Here is a 27,448-nt window from a genome sequence, read left to right as displayed (position 1 = left end):
ATCTATAATGTACATGGTAGTGCTTCTTAAGTTGTTCAGTGTTCAACCCATACAACTGTGTGGATTTGTCCTGGGGGGGAGAACAGCAAATGGTCATCTAGGTTCTGATGCAGGTTTTAATACAGTTGGTCTATAATGAGGCTACTGGTGCTCAGAAGACTCGTTTTCTATAGGAGTTTGGTGGTTCTATGTCTCCCTATTCTAATAAAAATTAAAAATAAAAAAAACCTGTCACAGATGACTTGAGAAGAAGAAGACTGCTTTATTGTTTTCCCCAGCTTCTATTCCTTTGATTGTGAACTCTACTTAGGAGTAGCTTCCCGGACCATGTAGCTCATTTTACTCCTTCCAGAAATGCTGTGGGGCTCTGAAGTTACGAACCTCAGGCAAGCGTAGAAGGAAGCATGTGCTGTCCCCACTGGCAGAGTCAGCAGCAGCAGAGTGGCAGATGATGCAGCCAAGCCTTCCCTTAATGCTGACCTGGTGACTGCATTGTCCCTTCTTTATTCTGCAAACTGCAAAGAGAAATGAGGGAAAAGGGGTTCATTGGTGTATCTTTAAATGAATCAAACATGTGTTTGTTCACCAAGGCAGTGTATTAAGTGGAGCCTGAGAAGAAAAGAGATGAGATAGTGTTAAAAACTATTAGTTAACAATAATATCTTGTTTCAAATGGCAAGATGGATGTTGAATGTTCCCAACACAAAGAAATGATAAATGTTTGAGATGATAGATATAACAATTACCTCGATCAATATATTACATGTATTAAAATATCACTATGTACCCCATGAATATGTACAATTATTATTTGTCAACTTAAAAAGTAAAATAAAAATAATGTTATAGGAAAAAAAATCCAATATATTAACCAGAGAACTTGAAATGTTTAGGGAGGTATAATTCCCAGCTGCTGCTGCCCATATTCATAATTAGCAGTGTTTCTAGGTTCATAATCTAGAAAATAAAATTGGATGTGGATTTTTCTGCTTTAGGAACATAATTGCTTCAGAGCAGAATGAATTATTAAAGTTAACTTTAAGTCATCTGGAAAGAGGCATTTAGGTTCTGACACCTGGATGAGTACCAGCCACCAGAGGTTACTTAGCCTCTGTGAACCTTGGTTTTCTCATCTGCGTAATGGGAAAGGTAGTACCTACTTCATAGGGTTGTGGTGAAAACTAAGTAAGAAAATTAATATAAACCATTTATCTAAGCCTCTTTCATTTGGCAGGCACCAGTAAGTAGTAGTTATTACTATTAACATAATAATAAAATAATATAAAACTAATATTAAACCCACCTTCCCCAAGGGTGACAAGACATTTCTTCTCTTATGGCATTTAGTAAAGTTTCTCCCAAAACTCGACAATTACACCTGGAAAGAAATCCTGAAGGAATGAACAACTGTAGTGAATAATTAATTCTATAACATGTGATATAAAATTTGTATGCAAAAATCACTACTTGCCACATCCATGCCCTCCAACTCTCCTGGCATGGATTATGGCAGCAATTTTAACAGAATACAGTCTTCTGAACCTGAGAGATAAAGAATAACAAGTCCATCGAAACGAACTACCATGAGGAGGGGGAATTTGGATAAAGACTCTTACTAGTAAATTGTGGCGGTCTCTTTGGACCTGGGATTCAGGTTCTCCCAGCTGCCCGCTCCTATATTTCTGCTGTCTGATCTGGATTTAGACATGGGACTGTGCACTCAGAGAGAAAGAGAACTGGGAAGTCTAGATTTAGCCAGGGAAAGGTGAGGCTGGGCTCAGGTCTGAGTGCATTCTGCATTACCTCTTCTCTACTAGTCCTCAGTAAAAATAAGAGATACAGATTGGAAAGTTTCTGAGTTGATTTTACATTCAAATATGATGCACATGTAGTTATAAAAATGGCTATTTGTTCAGGTAGAGCAGATCTGAAAGAAAAAATGATAGTATGAAATGGAGGAGTAAAAGACACTCCCTATGATGGAACAGCAGTGAGCTTTTAAAGGTCCAGAGCTACCCCAATTTGATTGTAGAGGCTGTGCAGTGTGCAACCTAAACAACTGTACATTATGATCTTGAATGGGTCTGAAATCCCGTTCGTATGCTTACGTCCACAAATGTCAAAGGCACACCTAGTTGTGCTATCTCAAAGGTATCCATGCCTCCCTCCCAGTCTGCTCTGCTCAGATTACAAGGTCCAGCCTAAGGCCCCATGAGGTTGGAAAACTCAGAGGGACTCCTAAGTTTGAGGATCATTCTAGATAGCAGGCAGCACTGGGGACCCTTATAGTATTGTTGTTCCTTTGAGTCCTAGTCTACACAACTTGGCACTCTGGAGGCTGCCAGTTAAGAGCCATAGAAGGCAGAGAGTTGTGTTCTTGGTGAAACAAAGCCCTGGGCCCTGCATGCTCACTCCTCCTGACAGCATGGCCATGGTGGTACCCTGCATTTTTCTCTGTTTAGTAGATGAAATATAGCCTAAAGCCAGAAATGAGAGATGCACACTTGCTAGTGAAAGCTCAGGGCTGATGTCAAGTAGATGTCCTGGCCCAGTATAGAAAAGGGGTGACTCTCTCTATTTTTCAGATAACCTGTGTTTCTCTATAGAGGAGGTGGAGTTGGCAATGCATCACCTGTTGACTGCCTGGAATGACTATGCCCTTGGCCAACAGCAGGCAAAACCGTGGCAAATGTGCCAGCAACACCATGCTACCTGTGGGTGGATGGCCTTCCAGACAGAAAGAAAATTAGGAGCTTTCCTTTCTTCCAGGCTCTGAAGCAGGGCAACAGGGAAAACATATATTATGGTGCCAGCATAAGTAAAAATGTTCCATGTACTTTTTTATACTATACTATTCTATATTATATCATACTGTATTATATTATGTTAATTAATCATATGATATGCCATCTCACCTTTATGTCATATCATATGGTACATGTGACAGGATGACATAATACTCTTTTAAAGGGGAAAAAGTTATCTGAAGCTTGAATAAACCCCTTAGGAAATTCCAATCATGATTTTTTTTGTGTTTGGGTTATTTTCTCTTTGTTTTTGTTTACATGTTGCCTTTGCCTCTTTCTTTGGCAGTCTGATATTGAGGTTAATATTAAAAGTATGCTATGAAGAATCCTACAAAACTGTAAAAGACAAGAAAATGACGGGATGCGTTCTGGGTCAGGCTGAGCTTGTTGTGAAAATGGAGTCCCTGCAAAGTTTGATAACGGGATGATGAAGCAGAGAGATGCAGGGGTTAATGACACTGAAGAGAACTTGAGGAGTGGTGATGGGGTGAGGAAAATGAGAGTGGAGCTGCGCATGGGGAGGGGGGGAAAGGAGGTTGCTAGGCAACTTCCCAGGGGCAGGGGAGAGAAATCCTGAGGGAGGGGGTGCTTTTGGAAGCACTGGGGCTTGCCATGGGTGGCTACCTGTGGTGAGAACAGACAGACCCAAGAGGTGGGTCACCTAGTTGGAAGCCGGCTGTTTGCCCAGAGCTGCTTCCTACAATAATAAACAGTCAGGAGAAGTCAAGGGTATACAGCCCGAGCACTGCGGCAAACCATCTGCGTAGTAGCTGGGGTGCAAAATAAGAACGGAAGCTGTTCATTCTACAGCCCGTGCCCTGAAGGAGATAATGGCATGGCCAGTGGTGCCTAGGGTTGTGGTTTGCAAACGCATTCATTGACTGCCAACTGGGTACCAGGCATTACTTGCTGGGAGGAACAATGGTTAAACCAGACATGATTCTTGTCCATAGCAGCTCTTCATCTAATAGAAGAGAAAGGCCTAAAGACGTGTGCATTGCTAATTAGCTATAGTCATGGGGTATAAAACAAAACCTCATTATTGAGAGTTTGGAGTATGGAGCCAGGTTAAAATCCCAGTCTGCATCACACTAGCTATGTACTCTGGGATAACAGGACCTTGTGGAAGTTACTTCATCTCTCATTTGTAAAACACGAATGATCATAGTACCTATGTCATAGGGTTGCTATGAGAACTAAATGAGTTGACAATGGTAAAGTGCTGAGGATAATCTCTAGCAAATATTAGGTTTGTTCAATAAGTTCTGCATAGGATCTAAATAATCAGGGCTATGAGTGCAGCATTGAATGTGGCATAAGTACCTTTCCACACATCCATACTTTTATAAAGGTGATGCCCAGCTAGGGAACACTTGTGACGCTGGGGCTCACCGGCTTCCCGACTTTTCTATCAAATGGTTCTTTGATTATCCTATTGCATGGTTCACATTGTTGTAAGACACCTTCTCTGGGTGGAGGAAATCGTGTCTTTCAAACTCAGATATACAGCCTAAGGCAGAACTAGGTCTGAAAAGCATAGATATCAGTTTCCTCAGCTCTCCTTCTAGTCTTCTTTTCCTGTCACCTGGAACAGGGAAGAATAAGTGCCTTTCATGGTACATTTCCTTTGCCATCAGTAGGGTCCTGCCCTAGCTCTCTTGTCTGCACAGGGTCCCTTTCCCTTCTCCATCTACAAAACCCTGAAGGCTGCCTGCAATTTTTCCCAGAAATTCATTTAGGTGTTTGGAATGCAGATATCGTTAGCCTTGCATTTCCAACTTTCCTGGCCAGGTAAGCATGTTGCTGTTCAACAAAAATAAATTTAGATCCACAGATCAGCACATGATGTTCTTATTATCCCAGCCCTGCCTCCCTGCAAGGGCCCCCATGATTACTTTATTGGCAGGACCCAGGGCCAGCCAATTGCCACACAGAGAGACAACTCCAATGTCAGCTGTACAAAAGACAGGGTATTTATGGCACAAACTCTTTGCAGAAGAGGTGAAAAATGCACTAAAACAGGAAGAAACATAGTCTTGAAGACCCATTTCTTCTGCCCTGGGATGCCCTCCCCATAGTCCCCAATCTGTCCACAGAGCCATCTGGGGCCATCACTCCAGTGTCCCAATGGCCCAGGTCCATGCAGTCTGCATGCTCATTCTACCCTCAGGATTTGCCATGACAGAGGTAGTTAGCAGACTATTCAAACTTCCAGTTTTCTGTCCCTAGAGAGCCTTTTTTGGTCAATTCAGATAAAGGCTAATATTCAGAGTTCTCTCACTTGATTCCATGTCTGAGGGCATTTGACAGAATGGGCAGAAATTTCTCTTTAAATGCCTGACTCTCACGGTAAACCATAATTTTTGCATTAAGTATGAAGACCTCTTTAGGGAGACAGTAAAACGCTGCAACCCCTCCCTGTGCATAGACTCTCTCCAGGCCCTGCCTTTCATCCTCATCCATCTGGTAAACTGGCCTGGGGCCTACTCATGAGTTGGTTGGACCCTTGACCTCAGGCACACATCCAAAGCAACATGGGCTTAGATGGCTGGTCTGAGTAATGCCGGAGGTGCCATCTGTCCTGCAGGAAGACTATCCTCTGTGTCAGTCCTAAAGCATTGGCTCCATATTTTAATCACAGCTGGTAACCGTCATTTGCCAAAATGAAAGATACCTGAACAGTTAGGAAAGGAAGGCACGTGATTCAGGGGCAACTTTAAATATTAGCTAGAAGTTTCAAGCCACAGGAAGATCTCCTAGAAAAATAGGAATGACAACAACAAAATAATAATAAATAAAATTAGAAAATTGCCCAAGAATAAGGAGTTGCCCAAACACTTAGAAAAACCCAGAAACATTCCCATAACTTGCAGAATAACCTAGCAATGGATTTTGTCAAAAATCAGAGCTACCAAAACGGTTCTGAAAGTCTGCCTCATAGACAATTTGCATTGAGGCCAGCATGTCTCATCTTTCCCCATTCCAGAAAATGCCCAGATTTCTCCTAGAGAAATCGGAAACTCTAATATTTCTAGCAATATTCGCATGTCATGGAGGGGAAGTGACTACCCCCAGAAATAATACAACTGCTTACCCACTCCATGAAGTGAAAGATTTGAAAGACATTTCTCTGTTCCAAAGGCCTGTGGGCAGAATTAAAAGTAATTGCCAGAAAAGCCAGTTTCAAAACAGTCTCTACACTTGCATTTATTGAATGAGCTTATTGGATATCTTGGTTGCAAGCAGGAAGCAACCTGCTGACCTGAGCTCCCTGTGGCCCTGGTCCTCTCCACTCTGAAAACATCCAGGCAGATCTTACAACTCCTCCAGTCACACCCAGATACCAACTCTAGGCCAGACCAATGCAATCTCTTGCCTGTATTTCAACTTTTGATTTCTATTGTATTTATTTAATGTTCCCTCCTTCCCCCCAGCTTGGGCCTGCTGTAGTTTGGGAAACTTGTTGGAGCAGGGCTGGGGGAAGAAGGAGGAGCCTGGAACATCGCAGTGAGGAGGAAACCCCCTTTCTCCCTAACTTCCCCTCCAACTCACAGGGTCTAGTTCAAGGCCCTCAGGCTTAAGCCCAGGGCAGAAAGGATTAGAGGGGAAAATTGGAAAGACCTGTATGGGTGTAATCTAGTGCTGATGCTCCCTGGACATAGACTTGTATAGTACAGGTGGGGGTTTTAAAGCACAGGGTAGTATGTAACTTGCCCAGTTAGAAAGTGGCAGAGCATGGCCGGGCGCAATGGCTTATGCCTGTAATCCCAGCACTGGCAGCAAATCCACTACTCTGGAGGCTGAGGCATGAGAATCATTTGAACCTGGGAGGCGGAGGTTGCAGGGAGCCTAGATGGCGCCATCGCACTCCAGACTGGGCGGCAGAGTGAGACCTATCTCAAACAAAACAAAACAAAAAAGCAATAAAAAAAAGTGGCAGAGCATGGATTCTGGAGCCAACAGCAAGGAGATTCTATTCCCCTTAATTTGAGCAATGTTGCCTCTTATGACATCCTCAGCACCAGGCAGTCCCCGACTCCGTCCCCCACACTTCTGCTGCGGCACACTGCCATCCAGGGGTCACCTTGGCCAGAGTCCCTCAAGATGACTGGCAGTCAGATATCTTCGGTGTGGTCAACACTGGTGCTCAGGAAGCACGACTCTGAGTGGTGAGCTCTTCGCCAAGCAGCCTTCTTTCCACTCTGCCACTGGCCAACTGCCCAGCCAGTCTCTAGCTTTTGATTTTCAGACATGCCTGAGGAGCCAGAACCTGCCTGGAGACTCCAAATGTTCAGGGACTCATGTCAGCCCCCTGAGAGGTACCTGAAGCCATCTTCACTCGGCTTTAGGTGAGGGAAGCTCCCAGCACCCTAACAACTCGTTCAAAAGAAATCCTCTCCTTCTGATTTTTGTATCTTTAAGGATTTCTTATATACCCCAAGGTGGGCCATAAGCTCAGGGTTGCAAAATCAGCTTCACGATCCCTTGACATTTCTTCTATGGGTGATTGGACATCTCCTGTTCTCAGACTTTGAGTCCTTGGCCAAAACTCAAAACTTAAAAAGAACAAAATAAAAGCTACATTTGACATCCTGTTATACATGGTAGAGGCAAGGCTCTCCAAAACATAGTACATATACATGTTAGGAGTAATACTCTTTAAAACAAAACTCTGTCTCCCAGGTTCTTCTTTCTACACACACACACACACACACACACACACACACACACGCACGCACACACACAAGAAACAGCAGGGAGGGAAGGAGAGAGAGAATAAAGAAGAAAGAAAGAGAGTGAGGAAGAAAGAAGGAAAGAGAAAAAGGAAATGAAAAAACGGAGACAACAGAGAGAGGAGATACAATAAAGGAAAGGAGGGAAGGAGAGAGGAAGAAGGACAGAGAGAAAGAGAGAAAGTAAAAGAATGAAAAAAGAAAGATTCTAAGGAGAGAGAGAGAGACCATGTGCTCACGCAGACTGGGCATTGGCATCACAGGTGTAACTAACATGACACGAAGCCTCTTTGTGTATCATATATAACAGTTTATGAGGCTCTTTGTGGAATCTCCTAATAACAGCCTTTTTAAAAAGGTATTATTGGCCAGGTGCGGTGGGTGGCTCACACCTGTAATCCCAGCACTTTGGGAGGTTGAGGCAGGTGGATCACTTGAGGTCAGGAGTTCGAGGCCAGCCTGGCCAACATGGCAAAACCCCATCTCTACTAAAAATATAAAAATTAGCTGGGCTTGATGGTGCACGTCTGTAATCCCAACTACTTGGGAGGCTGAGGCAGGAGAATCTCTTGAACCCAGAACGCGGAGATTGCAGTGAGCTGAGATGGCGCCATTGCACTCCAGCCTAGGCAACAGAGTGAGACTGTCACAAAAAAAAACAAAAACAAAACAAAACAAAGGTAAGGTAAGGTTTTCCTTTTAATGCTAAGCAGCCCCCAAATCATTTTCTTTTGTGACAAAGAACAGCCTGTAAAATCAAGCTGCAGACATAGAAAGGCAAGCTAGAAGCTTGCACAGGTGAATACCAGCAGCTGTGCCAATAATAAGGGGCTACCTGGGGACTAGGTATGTTAAAAATGGCAGCTACATCTTCCATTTTCTTTGTCAACCATGTGTACAGTAAGGAGCAGGCAACATGGCACCTGCCAGGCAAAGACTTCATTTGCATAACAGAAGATTAGGGTGGGGCAGCCAGCTTCCTTGCGTGCTATGTAAACACCTGGTCCAACCAATCTTTGGGCCCTATGTAAATCAGACACCACCTCCTCAAGCCAGTCTATAAAATCTTGTGCACTTGGCAGTGGGCCAGAAGTCCCACTCAGGCATCCCTCTCTCGCAGGAGAGAGAGCTATTCTCCTTTCTCTTTCTTTTGCCTATTAAACTTCTACTCCTAAACCTACTTCTTGTGTGTCGTGTACTTGATTTCCTTGGTGTGAGACAACGAACCTCGGGTATTTATCCCAGACAACAACGCCGCTTCAGTGAGTCCAATCATTGGGAGTGTTGAGATGAATGTTGGGTGATCACCTGCCAGGTGTACCAAACCTCACTGCCTAGTCACCTGGGAAGCTTGTTAAAATACCACTCCACCACCACTACCACCACCACCATCACCATGGCTGCCCCAGAACTACTGAATCAGAATCTCCAGGGGTGGCAATTAAACATCCATATTTTTTCAACTCCCCAGGTAATTCTGAGGCAGCCCATGTTTGGGATTCACTGCTGTAAAATTAGATACAATTATCTCTACAGTTCCTTCTAATTCTAAGTTTCTATCATTCAATGCACACTCTGGACGTTTAAAATCATCCTTTGTGTCCATACAAAGTTTCTGAGGCAGAATTTCTTCTTCCCAGAGAAGAGGTCCTGAGAAAATTCTTCGAAGTATGGGGACCTCGAGGTCCTGATTCCAAACAGCAACAAACATGTGCTCTAAGATTAGCCTTTCTGAACGATATTTCTCCCTGAAGACTTGTCTGTTTCCTCAGTGAAGCTATCCAAGCTTCCTAACCTCCCTCCAAGGCCACAGAGACCTCTTCTCCCTCCTCCAAACTCTGACCAGCAATCTGTGTCCTTTTTTCAGAGGAAGGGGGAAGCAGAGGGCACTTCTCACATGCTCTCTGGCATCAGCTGTTGGGGGATTCAATAGGCCTGGTTAATAATGCCAGGCATTGCCAGCAAGTCACAAACTAATTGAGAAATAAGACAAAAGAATAGGGCATGTGGAGACCAAAATAACATCTTCATTGTTGATAAATGTGCTATTAGACTAGCAGAATTCACAGCCTAGTCACCCTGTCACAGGCAGCACTGGGGACAGCTCTTCCCTGGGGCACAGATCCCCGCCCTTGCCAATGATCACAGAGGAGAGAGCAAAGCAAGCACTTCTTGTGGGCAGCCTGGCTCCTAACAGGAAGGGGAAGGAAGGGAGCGTGGTTCTGTGTGCCCTGTTCCTCTTCATGGCTCTCCAGTTAAAACATCACACTCCTCCTTTCTGGGGACAGCTGGATGGAGAATGGCCAGCTGAGTCACACAGGTGAACCCCCTCTACCTAGGACAAGCTCCCCAGAGCAGGAAGGAGGCTTCCTGCCTCCCCCAACACTTTCTTATTCTTTTCTATGTGCCTTGGGTCTTTGATGGGATGATAAACCAACGGAATGCAGGGATTCTGTATTATCTTCTGTCGATGTTTTCTCCAAAGTGCCTGGCACTGTGCTGGGCAAATTATAGAAGTTCAAAAAATATGTTTGTTTGTTTTCGAAAAATAAAGGGCAAAAAAAAAAAAAAAAAAACACAGAAGCAAGGAAATGACAGAAGGGACAGAGAGGGGAGGAAGAAATGGGATTGGGGGATGTTGTGATGATTATTTATAAGCTTATCTTAAAAATAAGGGAAGCATGAGGGGTTGGGGATTTGACTCTGAAAGCAGATGGCCTGAGTTCAAATCCTGCCTCAGCCCTTTACTTGCTGTATTGCTCTGGACAAGTTGCCTAAGTTCTCTTTCATCTGTACCTACCCAAGTGGGTTGTTGTGAGCATTAAATGGGATTTGGCTCATCAAGGGGTTAGAATACCAGTTGATGAACTGTGACTTTCAGGTTATTCTGACCTGATGCCTGTTTTTGTAAATAAAGTTTTATTGGAACCCAGACACATCCGTTCATTAATGTATTGTCTACAGTGGCTTTTGCAACTACTCTAGTAGTTGAAACAGAGATTTTATGACCTGCAAAGCCTGAAATATTTACTATCTGGCTCTTTAGAGAAAAAGTTTGCATATTGACTCCTGGCTTAGAACACAAAGCCCCATTCTTTCACCCTGTGAAGTAGAAGACTGAGTACATATGTCACTCTCTTTAAAGCAGTGCTTGATTCTTGCAGTTAGACATTGGTACTCCCTTCCCACTGTCATTCTATGGCACCTCAGACTCCTTCTACGGCACTTTTCACATGGCATTGTCTAGAGATTCTCCAGTCTGGGATTGTGTCATATTCACTGCTCCAGCATAGTGCCTTAGACAAAATTGATACCCAGTAAATGCTTGCTCAATATTCACTGGTAATACACACATGCACAATAAAAACCCTCTAAAAGGAATAACTATAAACCTGCAAAGTGACAAAGGCTAGAGTTCTGAGCAAGCCTCTCTGGACTTTTCACTATTGTTCCATCAGGTAGGTTTTCATGTCCTTCTTTCTGCCTCTTTATTTCTGTCTTCTTGCTTCTCAACGTCTGGCCATGGTGGTGGTGGTGCTTGAGTGGCAACAGTCCTGCGCTCACTGATGAGCCTGCAGTCTACAACTGGCATTCCTTTCCATGTCTTGCAGGGCCATCAGCCTTCCCTTCAATGCTTGGAAGTTCATGTCAAGACATTTTGGCCAGGCGCGCATCAGTCCTTGGGCAGATGCTCCTAGTGGGAGGTGAGGAATGCTCCCACCTGAGTCTCTCCCACCTTGCGTTCCACAGCAGGTGTGCCAGGGGCATTCTAATCATGCTTCCTGTGGACTTGCATCTGCTTCTGGTTTTCAGAGCTTCTGGTCATTTTCACTACAAAATATTAGGCTCTATTTATCTGTCACATCACCAAAGCTAGTCCTGGATATTTCTGACCAGGAAATATTTGAGCTGTGTTGTAAACAAGACAATGACCATGGGCACCTCCCTGATCCTCATCCTCTTCCTCAGTAAAACAAGAGGAAATGGTCACAAGCCTCTCTGATTCTAACATCAATGGCATCTATGAGGTCACATGAACCTTCAGTGCTAGCAATGTCTTTAAATGGGATTAGCAGCTGGCTTGAGCACTGACCCATTTGAGGGGCTGGTTGCTGACCCCACACTCCTCAAGTCCTCTGTCTGCAGGATACTAGGATGCTGACCTTTCATCATTCCACTGACGTTATGTGGCCTAAAATCCTCAGCCTGAAGGTAAAATTCCTTAAAAAGCTCTGAGCTTTCCAAAGGTTCTTTGGGGTTCAAAGGTGAAGTCAATGTTTGCCTCCAAGTAAGAATTCATTAGCTGCTATTGCCAATCAGAGCTGTTTTCTCTGAGCAGAAACGAGCTCCTTGGAACTTTGCAGGTCTCTAGGTCAACAGCTTAACATGCAGGATGTGCAAACGCCTGTGGTCTCATCCACCAGAACTTGCAGGTACACATAGCTTCCTCGCCCGACTCCGCAGCTTGGCTTCCCATCAGAAAACAGCTGAAAAGTACCTGCCATATCTTGCTAGTGAGACCCAGGTCCCATCAGACATCAGATTGCAATCTAAGATGGAGCTAGAAGCTTGAATATCTCTCCTGGGTGTTCTGACACACTCATTCTCCAGCTTGACTTAAAAAGAAGAGCTTTTTTCTCCCCTTATGGCATTTTTATTCTCATAGGAATCAGTAAGTAGAAACCTATTTGTAAAGTAATGGGTAAAATGATTACTGGGGTTTTTTAAATGCTCTTTCTGATGTTTCCATTTTTATTTAACTCAACAGTGGCAGATATACTGACAGCCACACTTATTCATGATCCAGAGAAATCTTTGCTTAATACTGTATTAAGCACTATTGAGAAGGAACACCCCTCGGATGGCTTTCTCCAGGTGTTCAGGACCTTCGCTATCCTCCCTCCACAGGGGCTGACAATACTTCAGCAAAGTTGGCTGTTGAGGATGGAATTTCATTTTGGGCAGAGCAATGTCTCAGGATAGGCTTGGGAGTCTGCCTTCCTTAGATAAATGGGCCTAAAGATGGCAAGATCATCTTCCCAGCATTGACTGCCACAGCACATATGTTAGGAACAGACTTTATTCTGACTGGGGAAAGGCCACTGAATGAGCCCTTTTTAATTAAAACCCCTGAACCTTCCTCATTAAGACTTTTGGCACACGCTGACAGTGGAATTTTTCCTGCATGGTCCTTTTGGGAGCTACCTAGATGACTTTCGCAGAGAAATGACATATAATAACATTTAGGATTATTATTATCGGGCTAGGTTCTCATCCTGTGTAACTCTCCAGGAATTCTAGCACTCAGACTTGCTTGTTATAAATACTACACCCTTCAACTTCCTCCAAGTGCACAGGAGACGAGGTGGTGGAGGGCTGTGTGGGGGTTAGGAGATGGTGTTGTTTGGAAGATCCATTAATCAAAGTCAGCTTGAAAGTCATCCTGCACATGATTAAATCAGTTATAAAAAATTATTCCCTTATTTCAGGTAACTGATTCATTCCCCCACATTTCCAGGGATGTAAGTAGCAGGCAGGTTTCATACCCATCTCAGGAATGGAAAGCAGATTGAATTGGCCCAGTGGGTGATGAGGTTATAGAACAAATGACACTGATTTGGCCCCAGAGCAAGGAACCAGGACCCATCAAAGCAGGGCCATGTCTCTAGCAAGATAAGACACTTTTGGGAGACAGAAGATAGGGATGGGAGACTATTCCCAAAATTTAAGAGAAAAGCTTCTATTTAGGAATGCTGGTACCAGATCCAAGCTGACCACTGATTCGCTTAGCCAATACGTGAGTCTGTACCACGAGCCAGGTACTGTCCCCTGTACTGGTCTAGGGTGGTAAAGAGGACAGACAAAGTCCTTGCTCTCTGGAAGCTCAAATTCTAAGGTCGGGGGTGGGGGAAACAGATAAATAAGCAAATAAGCGACCATACGAACAAAGATGAATTTATCAAGATAAATTCAGATGAATTTAAAAATGATACAAAGTCAACAAAACAAAGAACAATGATGGAAAGTGACGGGGAAGGGTAAGCCATGGGAGCCTGGGCAATGCAGACAGAAAGAGCAGGGAAGGCTTCTCGAAGGAAGGTGCATTTGAGCTGAGATCCAACGGGTGAGAAGGAGCTAGGCGTGTGGTGACATGACTTCAGAGCTTTCTAGGCAGAAGGAACAGCAAGTGCAAATACCCCAGGGCAAGAGCAGGCTTGGCATTTTCCAGGAGCAGAAAGAAGAGAGGTCCTTGTGCCACCCCATGAGCAAAGGAAAGAGTGGCAAGAGGACATAGGGAGAGGCCAGATGCCCTTGGCGGCCATCATGAAATGTTTAGACTTCATTGTGCAAGCATGGGCAGCCATTAGGGAGTGTGGAAAAGACTACTAGTTGTCTCCCCCTGCCCCCACCCATCCAGTCTCTCCTTTTTTTCAGTCCTAGAATGTTTGAGTTTTAGCCAGCAAATGCCCACATGATTAGAAGGTCCATTTTCCAGTCTTTTTTGCATATATGTGTGGCCATAGGATTAAGCTCCTGTCAACAAGACATGTGCAGAAGTGATGTATGCCGCTTCTGGACCTAGTTCTTAAAATGTTTGAGCATGTGCCCTCCCTCCACTTTCTCTTTTCCTCATCTCAGCGGTTGGTGTGTGCATCTGGCTAGAGAGCCAGCTTTGACTTTGGAGAGTGTAGGGTAGCACCTTATGATATGGTGAGCACCAAGATAGAAGGACTCTGGGTCCCTTCATGGCTGTCCATAACTTGGCCACCTGCCTGCCCTGAACCATCTGCCTTCCTTTGCTTGAGCAGTTGCATTTTGGGTTTCTTTGTTATATCAACTCAGCCTGCATTCTAACTAATACAGGATGTTTCAGGTAGGAAGGTGACATGATCTAATTTACATTTCAAATAGATCAATCTAGCTGCCATGTAGATAATGTATTGGGAGAGGAGAGAGAACAAACTGGATACAGGGAGGCCAGAGGCCACCTCAGAAGCCATTGCAGTAATCCAGACTAAAGGCACTGATGGCTTAGGGTAGCCACTCTGCAAATAAAGAGAAGTGAATCAACTTGGGATCTATTTTGGAAGTAGAACCAAAAAGATTTGAGGAGGGATTGGATGATTGGGAGAGAGGTTGAGAAAAGAATAATTAAGGTAACTCCTAGTTTGGGATCCTTTGGTGATTTCCCCAGATATCTAGATGGGATCTGAAGATAACAGGAGGTGGACCCCATGGAAGGAGGTTGGGACATCTCTGACATAAGAAACTACCCAGGAGATAGCAAACTCAGAGATGATGCATACCCCAATTGTCAGTCTAATAGTCTTTTGTATAGACACAGACTTCATGCCCCACATTTGAGTTGAAAATACTTAAGATTCTTTTAGTTGCATGTAACAGAAACCAATTCTGGCTAGTTTAAGACATAATAATTTACTGGAAGGATTGACACAGCTCCTAGAACCCAAGTATAGCCAGATCTTTAAAAAGGACTAGAACTGAGGAGTAGAAAGATTACAGGAACCACAAATACTCTTAGCTCTTTATCTCTGAACAGACCACTTTTTTTTTTATTTTTCCATAGATATGATGAATGATGGTATCTTCAAGGATTCTGAGTTTATTTTACTTCTAGCAAACTATACCAATCTAGATACGCTTAACCCCCTGGGGGTAAGAATTTAACCAGCTTTTCCTGGGTCAGGGTCCAATCAGCTATAGCCAGGAGGATGAAACCAAATAGTACAAACATGGCTGCCTCTGCCTATCCATGAGAAAAGGGCAGGTCACAGAGAAAGGTGTCTATGTGAGCTGGGGGTACACCCTCCCGGAGCCTTCTAACAAGGTCCATATTGACTAAGAATATCAATTTCATGAAGATACAGCACCGTAGAACTCCAATGGTCCTTTAGAATGATCTACTTCTAGTACAGAGTTAAATGGAAGCCATCTTGAGCTGATAAATATCTTTTTTATTTTTAGAGATATCTTGCACAGATTTCATAGCTTTTCTTGGGGACCACTGGTGAGGACTTAGAATTCTCACAAATGCTTTCTGCTTGTTTCTCACCTTTGCACTTGCCACAGCCTGTGAAAACCTCCTCTTGTTCTCTCCTCATTCAGAAGGTGGCCATCTGGGCACCCATTCTATCTGTCGGAATAACCCTCCCTGATGGTACACCTCCAGCAAGGCTGGACTGGAGTGAATAGGGAATTCTGGAGACAACTGACCTAGATGTGATCCTGCAGTCTCAAAGATTTGTCTAAAGTGTCGCTGAACAAACCACAGGGCTTTGGATCTTAGATTTGCTTTTTCTACAAGCATCTATTCTGCAAATAAGTAATCCCATCTTGCTCTTCCCCTTGCCCACTCTCAAACACTCATTCTTTATTCTCATCCAGGGCTTCTTCTCCCCACTTCTCTGAATAAAGTTTAAAATGGAGCTATAAGAACGGATATAGCAGCTCTTTATCTGTCAGAGAAAGATTAGCTAAGGATAGTTATGGGCCCCAGGCAAAGATGGGGATGCAGACTGCCTCTTAAAGGCTTGATTGGGAGGATTTTATTGTTATTATAAAAATGCACTTTCTTTTAAAAGTTTAGAGTTAGATTTTTTTTTCCCTTCTTTTAGTCACAGGAGGTCATGCACTTTTTTTTATTAGACACTTCTTATTTTTAAGGCTGAGGCTTAACAGCATGCTCAGTAAGGACTATGGGAACTGAATGGGGCCTCCGAGGAAAGCCTCACCTCCATCTGTAGGGCTGGAGGGACATACGTTATGGGCTTCGTGCCTCCTGGTAATACGTGTGGGTCATAGCCCTTTCACCACAGAGCAAGCCCTTGGCGGGGGTTGAAATATACTGTTTCCAAACAGCAAGGCAATGGAAAATGACCTTTTGCTATCCTCTCTACCTCATGATTTTTTTGACTTTTTTTTATTATGGACACTAATGATTATGATCAAATAGATATTATGTATAAAAAGTGCTCTAAAATATAATCTTATTATTTTTATGGGTTTTAAATTTCATACCAGAGTTTCTGTTCATGGTGTTCATAACCAGTGATCATCATCCCAACTGTCACTTAACCAGTAACTATCATGAGCTCTTGCTTTTTTTTTCTCATTCTTTTATTGTGGTAAAATATACATAGCATAAAATTTGTCAGTTTATTTTTTAAGTGTATACTTCGGTGACATTAAATACATTCACATTGTTGTGCAACCATCACCCCTATCCATCCCCCCAAACAGAAACACTGTACCCATTAATCACAAATTCCCTTTCCCCTCTTACCCCAGTCCCTGGTAACCCCTATTCTACTTTGTGTCTGTATGAATTTGCCTATTCTAGGTGTCTCATACCAATAAAGCATCTACTTTTTTTTTTTCTTTTAGACAGAGTCTCATTCTGTCGCCAGGCTGGGGTGCAGTGGTGCAATCTCAGCTCACTGCAACCTCCGCCTCCCAGGTTCAAGCAATTCTTCCACCTCAGCCTCCCAGGTAGCTGGGACTACAGGTGCACATCACCACGCCCAGCTAATTTTTTGTGTTTTTAGTAGAGACGGGGTTTCACCATGTTGGCCGGGATGGTCTTGATCTCCTCCTGACCTCATGATCTGCCCACTTCGGCCTCCCAAAGTGCAGGGATGACAGGCGTGAGTCACCACACCCAGCAGCATCTGCTTTTAATTCTACTTTCCAAATCAGGCACTGTGCCTTGATACCCAGCTATACAGAGACTCACCACCAGGCCTCCCCACACTCATACCGAGGCTAGAGACAATCCATTCTAAGTTGTGGTCTCTCAGCAGGAAGTCCATCCTCTGTAGAAATCATTTTATTTAAACCTTATAAAACCTTGCAAGCTGGAGATTACTATCCCCCACCTTATAGCTGCAGAAAATAAAACTCCCACAGATTAGATCACAATGCTGGTAAGCAGCAAAGCTAGATTCAACTCAGGATGAGTACCAATTCCTGCTCTTAACCCGTATGCTGTCCTCCCTTCCCCACTGACTATTGAAGTTGTATATCTGCCAACTCCTTGGCAACTCAGAATAGCTGTCCTCCAAGTTCTTACCAAGGATTAAAATCGTGACCTCTATGTTGTCCAATGTTTACCCAAAACCCCAGGTTGGAAGACATGTGACCTCTGTAGGAGGTACGTGCACTTCACCGAGAGGCAGTATAGTATAGTGGTTAAGCACCCAGGCTCTGGGGCCAGGCTGCTTGAGCTCAGCAGCTGAGTGAACTTAGCCAAGTTACTTAACCTTCATGACTCACTTTCTACTTCTGTAAATGGAAATGATACTGAGATAATGACGGGGATGATAATACCAATCTTACTGAGTTCTTATGATGATAAATTGATGTACATAGAATATGAAGACCACTGCCTAGTGCTTAGAAAACATTATGTATGTGACAACTCTTATGACCTGTCATCCATTTCTTTCTTTTTTCCTTTTTATTTCTTTCTTTTCTTTTTGTTTTTTGAGACAGAGTCTTGCTCTGTGGTCCAGGCTGGAGTACAGTGGCACAATCGTAATTCACTATAATCTGGAACTCCGGGGCTCAAGTGATCCTCCCACCTCAGCCTCCAAAAGCATTAAGATTACAGGCATGACCCACCACACCCAGTCTGTCATCCATTTTTATAGCTGATTCCTACATCCGTTTAGTCATAGATTCTTCAATGGCAAGTTATGCATCTCTGTATCAGTTACAATGCTTACTGATGCAAGTCATAAAAACATGATTCACATTGGCTTACATTCGATTAAAATATCTGGAAATAACTGAAATCTAGATGTAGAGCAGATTCCAGACATGGTACAATCAGCAGTGAATGGTGTCATCAACAACTTACTTCTCTCTGTTACTCCATTCTGCCATACAGCATCAGTGGCATCCTAAGGCTGGTTTATGGGGGCAAGACGGCTTCCAGTGGTAACCAGAGCTTTGTGCTTCCTGTGCAGATCTAGAAAGAGACAGAGCATAAACAAGCTTCACCATATGATAGTTGAGCCAACTCAGGTCTCAGGCTGGAGTGGATCCCTATACAAAATCAGACAGGACTAACAGCAACAGCCTCAAATCTCTGTACCCCAAAAGGCAACATACAAACTTGGCAGACAATTCCAGAAGTTTCACAGTCTGCAGATTAAGACCCTGTAGGAAATATTTAGAACATTACTCATAGAAGAAGTCAGACTCTCAGAAAGTTGTATATATGAAACACATTGTTTCAACTCCTCTTAGAATCACCATGACTGAATTGCATGTCAGTATCATGCCATGGGTGTCTTCTTCATCTATAATAGTGTTAGGAAAAAAGTTCACTTCTCCTGAGTAATTCATTCAATTTTATTTTATGGACAATGTAAAACATATTTAAACCATGTTTCCATCTCCCCTGAGGCACCTTAGCTTCATAGCTTACCTCAAGGAAAAAGTAGAATTAATTTTTCTGTGCTTACCCTGTACTTTGTTTTATTGTTTTCCTATTAATAATTTCCCTTCCTCCTAACTCAATTAATTACTCTGTATTGCATGTAACTTAATATGCAATGTATGGAAAAGTATATGTATACTCAATGCCAATCCCAGCATGAATAGTTAATTTTAAAAAGCAAGCAAATATAAATGTTCAGTTAAGAAGACAATTGAGTAAATTATGCATGTTTATAAAATTAAAGACATTGCCATTAATTACAGCATTGAAAAATAAAGAGATGAAAAATGATACAGAAATTTTAAGAATTTAGAAGATAGGGAAGACAGATATCTAAAAACAAACAAACAAAAAAAAACAATAAATGGACTGATGTTTCATCAGAAAAAATAGAGCCCAGATACAGTGGAATGTTATCCTCAAGGTATTCAGGAATATAATTGTCAACAAGGAATTGTATACCTAGAGAAACCATCACTCAAGAGTGAGGGCAAAACAAAGCAAAGAGAGTTTATCACTCATAGGTCATCGCCGAAAGAACTACTGAAGAGAGGTATTTATTTAGAAATAAATTGAACCTAGAAAATAGAAGAGGAACACATAAAACGTTGTGGAGCAAATAAATTGGTAAATGCAAAGGGAAGTCCAAATAAGTATCAACTGTAGAAATGAAAGAAAAACAAAACAAAAACTCTATACATAATATAATGACTAATTTTAGGGCATTTAAAAACAAAACAGAACCAAAATTTTAGATAACGACGTGGATCGTAAGTGAGAGTCACCAGAATTAAAACATTCTAAGGCTCTGGTATTGTTCCACGGAGGGTAGATGTGTTGATTTAATGTTAGATTTCTTAAATTAAGTATGTAGGCTAAAAATTCAAAGGTAACCGCTAAAAGAATAAAAATTGAATATGTACTTCTAAAAATATAAATATTCAAAATAAATATAATTATATTAAATTTACCCACTAAAAGAGATTATAAAATTGTTTTTTAAAAATATGCATTATCTTTCTAGTGAATTTTTCCTTTTATCATTATTTTGTGCTTTATCTTTTTCCCTATAAATTATTTTTGTCTTAAAACTTGTTTGTCTTTTATAAATATAAATTCCAGTATCTTGAGTCAACCATTTTTAACATGTTAGAATTGTTCCCTACTGGCCTTAAAGAAATTACACAAACATGTTATATTTTTTCCAGAAAGGCTTTGATTTAGAAAGATGTCCATTTTAATATGTGCATAATATTAATATCATATTCATTACCTTTCGAGTTCTAGGCTTCCTAACTAATATGCATTCACATGCATATTCAATTATTAATATGCATTTATCCTCCTAGACATGGGCAATATGTGTTAAAAGTAGAATATTCTTGTTAGATTTTTGGTAGATGCTTGTCATCAAGTTTTGAAAAATATTTTTCTTTTATAGTTGGTGAACAGTTTTTATTATGAGCAAGTCTTTAATTTTACACTTTTAAAACATTAGAAGCTCTACAGGATACTCTGTCCTTTGTCCCAAGTTCTAGTCAACATTGTTCTACAGGAGATCTTACCCAACAGAGTAAATCAAGAAAAAAAATTCAGAGGTAAATGGACTAAAAAGGAAGAGACAGCATTGTCATTATTCACAGGTATTATGATTTCTTGATGTGGAAAATCCTTGAAAATTTCCATATGGACTATTAGAATTACGAAAGATTTCAGCAACTATGCTAAATACAGCCACCATACAAATGCAAACTCACATGTCATCATTAATATTGGCCTTGTCTAGAAGGACACATCACGTCACATTGTTAGAGCAGGCCTGGAAATCAAAAGACAGTAGATATGAAATTTACTATTATTGACATACTAACAAGGACAGTCTATTAAACCAAAACATTTCTGGGAAAAAATTAATACATGTGTGTATAATTTCTAAAGGCCACTCGGGAACATTCCAAACTGTCAAGAATGGCTGACTCTAGGCAGTAGAATCTTCATATATGGCTTTTAACTTTCATCTCGATAATTATCTATTTTACAAAATTTCTACAATAGGCATGTACTACTTATAATTGGGGGGGTGGGAGAAATGTTTTTAAAAAAATAAAAAGAAACACTGGGGCCAGATCCATCCAGCATCTCTGTCTTACCTCCCACCTCCCTGAGGAGGCATTCTAAGTAGCCAATCCAAACTGCTTTCTGCCTCATTAGTTCCATCTTACTTCAATTCTCATCTGAAAAAAATATTTTTTCCCGTTTCTTCATAGTGTGTGCCTTAATTTCTCCTGCTCTGTTTCCTCTAACTATATCATCCAATCATGTGATGTTTTGGCCCAATACAACCTAGATTATAATAATACCTTTACTAAACATATGGTATCCCACACTGCCACAGCCCTTGGCAGATAGCATGGCAGAGACATTGTGAGCAAGACCTGCCTTTAACACAGAGTGGAGGCAGTTGCTGGGATGGGACGGTGTCATATGGCCTCAAATTCCACCATTAAAACCTTTAGGTTAAGCATTGCCCTCTCTGGGTTCCTCTTTAAAGATTTAATTCTGCTGGAAGGTAATTAAACATCAAAGAATTCTGTTTAAAATCTCCCTCATAGTGAAAAGGAGTGGAGGAGGTAGACAAAAGAAAAACAATTTTATATAGTCCAACGTTGGACTAGGCCCGCCTTACAGTGAATTCCCAGCTCTTCTTGTGGCAAGGAAGAATCCTGGGAAGATCAGAAAGGAGATTGGCTCACCCAAGCGGACTTGTTTCATGATATGCTGGTGTGACTTTCTACTAAGAAAGACTTTTTCAGATTATTCTGCCAAAGTGTTCTGTAGAAACTATTACAATCCAAGTTTTCAGAATTTGGACAAATCATTTTAGTCTTACATCCAAGTACTTGGCTCATGAAAGTGAGTGAGAAAACCCATCAGGAAGCCTCTTTTGATAGACAGAAGTTGCTAGGGTAGGGAGGTTCTCTGCCTACCCCTCACCCCACAGCAGGGGCCCATGCTGAGAGCAGCGGCAGGGCCATCTCAGTGTCCCCTGCCCGGCCAACAGCCCTAGAGGGGTCTGGGCTGTGCACAGGGCAGCTCCCTAATGCGATTCCAGCACTAGCCTCTCACTCAAAACCCTGCAACCTGGTCCAACACAGTCACTTCCTTGCCCTGTTCAGGTTGGTGTTTAGGTTTATTAGCTTAGAGATTCCCGTAAAATAGGTATAGAGAAGACAGGGAAACCCAGAAACACCAAGTAAAATCTGGGCATCTTAAATGATCCAATTTTTTTTTCCAGGCCCCACAGGAAGTTTAAAAGAGTTGGCAATTTAGTCAGGCATACAGCCATTCAGTCATTAAACAACAATGGAGCTTCACCCCATGTGTAAGGCTCCTGCAAGGCCTTGGGGTTGCAGGTGGATACAGCGTAATCTCTGTTCCAAGAACTTAGCAGCTAGATGGCAGGGATATAATAACAGGCAAATAACCATGAAACAAAGCAGCATCAGAGAAGTATCATGAGAGAGTTCCAAACCAACTTTGGGGCCAAGGGGTTAGGCAGAGGGGTTGGAGTCCTGGATCCAACAATTTCTAGCTGTGTGACTTTGGACATGGCCAAGCATTTACTGAGCATGTTCTATATGCCAGACATGGTGAAAAGCACTCTACTATGCATGATCTTGTTTTGTCTTTATAATAACCATAGGAGGTGCTATCTCCTTTTTATAGACTGGGAAACAGAATTCAAAGCAAACACTGAGTTTGCAGTCCAAGATGTTTACTAGGGATCAGCACTTTTGAAAAAAAAGGAGGAAGACACAGACTGGGCAGAGGAAGAAGCTAAACTTTGATGAAGACCAAACAAAGCCTTGACCCCAGAGCTTTGGAGCATGAGAACTGTCTGATGGAATGTTCCACTTTGGGCTAAAATGGCTGGGCATTTACAAGGATGCAGGCTGCCCTGAGAAAGACAGGCAGTCCTCTGCAGCTGAGGAAGACCCAAAAGGAGCTGACAGCTTGAGGTCATTTGCTGGCCGCAACCCCCTGCTGGTGAACAAATCCTGAGTGACATCTCTCTATGTCCACCACAGGATTCTCCCCTGCTAAACTTAGAAGGATTCGAAATAACTTTTGTAAGTACTTGGCACAAATTAGCTGCACAATAAATTGTAGCTTTTGTTATTCAACACAGAGCATGGATAGGAAAAATGTCGTGGTAACTCCTGGAAGCTATGTCTCAAGGAAAACGTCATCCACGTTGGTTGTAACTTAAAACAATTTCTCCCCTCCTGTCCGTGGCTGAATCAGGCTGAATCATGCCGAGACTCACCTTAACTACAAGGTGTAGCACAACCGTTGAGTGTGATGTGGGAGGCCTGTTTTGTGGCACGATTTTCTGAAAGTAATAGCGGATGGATTTTGTTCGTTTTGTGAACATTTAGTAGAAATATTTTGTAGTGATAGTGTTTGTGAAAAAATGCCTCGGGTGGGTGGGTGGGTGGGTGTTATTTACCAGCAGGACAGGGAGGAGGTGGTTGCAGCAATTTGAGGAGTACATCGAAGCTGAGCTCTGTAGGAGCCAAGGTGGAGTGGGGTCTGTATGGACTTCATGGTCAAGTTGAGAGGCAGTGATGGAACTGTGGTTACGAGAGAGCCCACACTTTCCAATTACTCACAGCAAGATCTGTTCTTAAAATATAAAAATGACAACTGAGACAATAAGAAACAGGCCTTTGGAACATGCGTCCCACATCCTGGCTGCTTAATGCCATTGATCCTATCAGTTCATTGGAGACTAAGTACCTGATGTGTACGATATTTGGAGAAAATTGTTTATCCACCTATTATTTTTAATGAGGAAAAGGTGAGAGTCAAATATTTTACTATTCTATGTTCTTCTCTGCATGTTTGTAAAGCACTTCATAGTCTTTGAAGCATTTTCACATTTGTGGTCTCTAGGCTTCTCAGCTTCTCTCTCCTTATGGCCTCTGTTATGAATACCCAGTTCCTCTCTGTTGCTGGACCCTACTACCTATCAGAGCAACTTTTGAACCTACTTTGCTTGCAAATTCAAGGAACAGGTGACCGGCACCCGCAGCCTCTACTTCTCTTTCCATTACCTTCTTAACCTCTCACAGCATGGATCCCACCACCACCCCTCGACAGAAAACACCCTCATTGCAGGTACAACCAGGGTGCTCCCGGACAATCAGTGCTATTCAGCATGGCCCCCCTGAAGCAGCTGGCATCTTCCAACTCTTCCCCTTTTAGAACTTTGTCGATTTTCTTACAACACTAAGCATAGCAAATACATTTAAAATTGAGTGCTTGCTTCTACCAGTTAGTAATGGTTGCTTGGAGTGTTGTGTGGAGAAGAAAATTCAAGTTACATCTAGGATGCTGTGATTGATTAACATGCTTGTCACAGGCCTGAAAAAGAGAGAAGTGGCACATGTTCTAGGCATTCGCCTTCTTATACCACACATTTCTCTTATTTCTCTTTGGTTTCTCCTTTTATTCTTTCTCTATTTGGGCACTTGATTTCTTCTCGGCCTCTAATGCGGTCAAGAATTTGACCCCCTAATGGGGTCAAAAATTATTGAGAGGATTAAATGAGGTGATATATAGAAAGCTCTTTGAATATATTGGATCCTGAATCAACAGCAACCATTATTATCATCCTCAGCTTTTTCCTATTGTCTTTATAGATTTATCTCATTAGATATCTGTGTGTTTTCTTTTTCTTTCTTTTTTTTTTTTTTTTTTTTTGAGATGGAGTCTCGCTTAGTTGCCCAGGCTGGAGTGCAGTGGCGTGATCTCGGCTCACGGCAAGCTCTGCCTCCCGGGTTCACGCCATTCTCCTGCCTAAGCCTCCCGAGTATCTGGGACTACAGGCGCCCACCACTATGCCCAGCTGATTTTTTTTTGTATTTTTAGTAGAGACGGGGTTTCACCGTGCTGGCCAGGATGTCTGTGTCTTTTCTTTATGCAACTTAGACACTGCCTTGGCTCCCAAGTCTAGTTTTCCAGCCCCAACAACTATCTACGCTTAACAAAGAAGACAAAGTAGAGAATAGGAAGCAGAAAACTGTGCAAAGGGTAAACCAAAGACAGGAAGTCCTAGCTAGAGCAATCACTCAAGAGAATGAAATAAGTTTGATGATATGAGTCTGTACCTAGAAAATTCTAAAGACCCTGCCAAAAGCCTCCTGGAACTGAGGAACAAATTCAGTAAAGTTTCAGGATACAAAACCAATGTAAAAAAAATCAGTAGTATTTCTATACACCAATAATGTTCAAGCTGAGAGCCAAATCAAGAATGCAATCCAATTTCCATAGCCATACACATAATAAAAAATGCCCAGGAATACATTTAACCAAGGAGATTAAAGATCTCTATGAGAAGAATTACAAAACACTGCTGAAAGAAATCAGAGATGACACAAACAAATGGAAATATGTTCCATGCTCATGGGTTGGAAGAATTCATATTGCTAAAATGGCCATAATGCCCAAAGCAAACTACAGATTCAGTGTTATTCCTATCAAACTACCAACATCATTTTTCACAGAACTAGAAAAAACTATCCCTTCATATGGAACAAAAAAGAGCCTCAATAGCCAAAGCAAGTCTAAGCAAAAAGAAAAAAGATGGAGGCTTCACATTACCCAACTTCCAACTATATTATAAGGTTACGGTAACCAAAACAGCATCACACTGCTACAAAAACCAGTGAAACAGAATACAGAACCCAAAAATAAAGCTGCACACCTATAGCCATCTGATCTTTGACAAAGTTGACAGAAATAAGCAATGTGGAAAAGACTCCATTTTCAATAAAATGGTGCTGGGATAGCTGGCTAGCCATATGCAAAAGAATGAAACTGGACCTCTACATTTCACTATATACAAAAATTAACTCAAGATGGACCAAAGATTTAAATGTAAGACCTCAAACTATAAGAATCCTAGAAGAAAACCTGGGAAACACCATTTTGGACATTGGTCTTGGGAAAAAAATTATGACTAAGTCCTCAAAAGCCATTGTGACAAAGACAAAATTAACAAATGGGACCTAATTAAACTAAAGAGCTTCTGCACAGCAAAACAAACGAACAAAAAAAACTATCAACAGAGTAAACAGACAACCCACAGAATGGGAGAAAATATTTGCAAACTATGCATCCAACAAAGATCTAATATTCAGAATCTATAAGAAACTTAAACAATTGAACAAACAAAAACCAAACAACCCCATTAAAAAATGGGCAAAAGACATGAGCAGACACTTCTCAAAAGAAGACATACAAGCAGCCAACAAATATATGAAAGAAACATTATCACTAACAATCAGAGAAGTGTGATTCAAAGCCACAATGACATATCATTTCATATCAGTCAGAATGGCTGTTATTAAAAAGTCGAAAAAACAACAGATGCTGGTGAGGCTGCAGAGAAAAGGAACCACATACACTGCTGGTGGGAAGGTCAATTAGTTCAGCCACTGTGGAAAGAAGTTTGAAGATTTCTCAAAAAACTTAAAACAGAACTTAACATTTGACCCAGAAATCCCATTTCTAGGTATATATCCAAAAGAAAATAAATCGTTCTTCCGAAAAGACACATGCACTCGTGTGATCATTGCAGCACTATTCACAATAGCAAACGCATGGAATTAACCTAGGTGTCCATTAATGGTGAATTGGATAAAGAGCTGGTACATATACACCATGGAAACTATGCAACCATAAAAAGAACAAAATCATGTCCTACATGAATCCTAGCAGAAAACCTAGGAAACCCAATGGATGCAATGGAAGGCCATCAACCCAAGCGAATTAACTCGGGAACAGAAAACCAAATACCGCGTGTTCTCACTTATAAGTAGGAGCTAAATATTGGGTACTCATGGACATAAAGATGGCAATAATAGATACTGGGAACTAATAGAGGTGGGAGGGAGGGAGGGGAGAAAGGGTTGGAAAACAAACTATTGGGTACTATATTCACTACCTGCGTGATGGGCTCAATCATATCACAAACCTCAGCATCACGCAATATACCCATGTAACAAATGTGCACATGTACCCCCTGAATCTAAAATAAAAGTCAAAATTATTTTTTAAAGGGTAAGTAAAAATGAAAAACTATGGAAGGTGAAATTATTTTCTCCCCTAGGAGCTTGTTCATTGGTTTGTTTTCAACCAAGCTAGAAAGCTTTGGAGCAAAGAACGATCTCAGAAAACGTATTCTATGTCTTTATGCTCTAGCAGAGATAGGATCCCCCATACCAGAAACACTGACCTCAAAGTGCTCTGACCTCTGGCTCCACAACATGACCTCCTGATTACCCCACCGCCTGGCTTCCTTTCGTATCTCCTGCCTTCTGCTCACCTGCTGTGAGCTTTCTTTGAGTGCCTCTCCAAGGGTAGAAAAGCCAGGCTAG

The 27,448-nt window shown here is 42.0% G+C and overlaps 2 long non-coding RNA genes across 4 annotated transcripts in view; both read right to left on the bottom strand.

Moving 5' to 3' along the window:
- Window positions 1-242: 242 nt before the first annotated feature.
- LOC127898557 (uncharacterized) overlaps window positions 243-27,448 on the bottom strand; it is a 140,693-nt gene continuing 113,487 nt past the window's right edge. Inside the window, exons 3-4 of the long non-coding RNA NR_183042.1 lie at window positions 18,420-18,530; window positions 243-515 (exon numbers count right to left, since the gene is read on the bottom strand). This is a non-coding gene — a long non-coding RNA (uncharacterized LOC127898557). The remainder of the gene's footprint in view (window positions 516-18,419; window positions 18,531-27,448) is intronic.
- LOC127898556 (uncharacterized) lies at window positions 243-27,448 on the bottom strand. Of its 3 annotated transcripts, none has more exons than NR_183041.1 (4): window positions 27,307-27,448; window positions 23,515-23,690; window positions 18,420-18,530; window positions 243-515 (listed from the first exon to the last, which is right to left on the bottom strand). It is a non-coding gene; the product is annotated as an uncharacterized LOC127898556 (long non-coding RNA). The 3 variants fall into 3 exon arrangements; NR_183040.1 differs by lacking the exon at window positions 23,515-23,690 and adding an exon at window positions 1,304-1,391; NR_183039.1 differs by lacking the exon at window positions 23,515-23,690.

The sequence above is a fragment of the Homo sapiens genome, chromosome 4 (assembly GCF_000001405.40).
Source record: "Homo sapiens chromosome 4, GRCh38.p14 Primary Assembly".
In the NCBI taxonomy this organism is placed as follows: Eukaryota; Metazoa; Chordata; class Mammalia; order Primates; family Hominidae; genus Homo; species Homo sapiens.
This window is presented reverse-complemented; position numbering and strand designations above follow the sequence as displayed.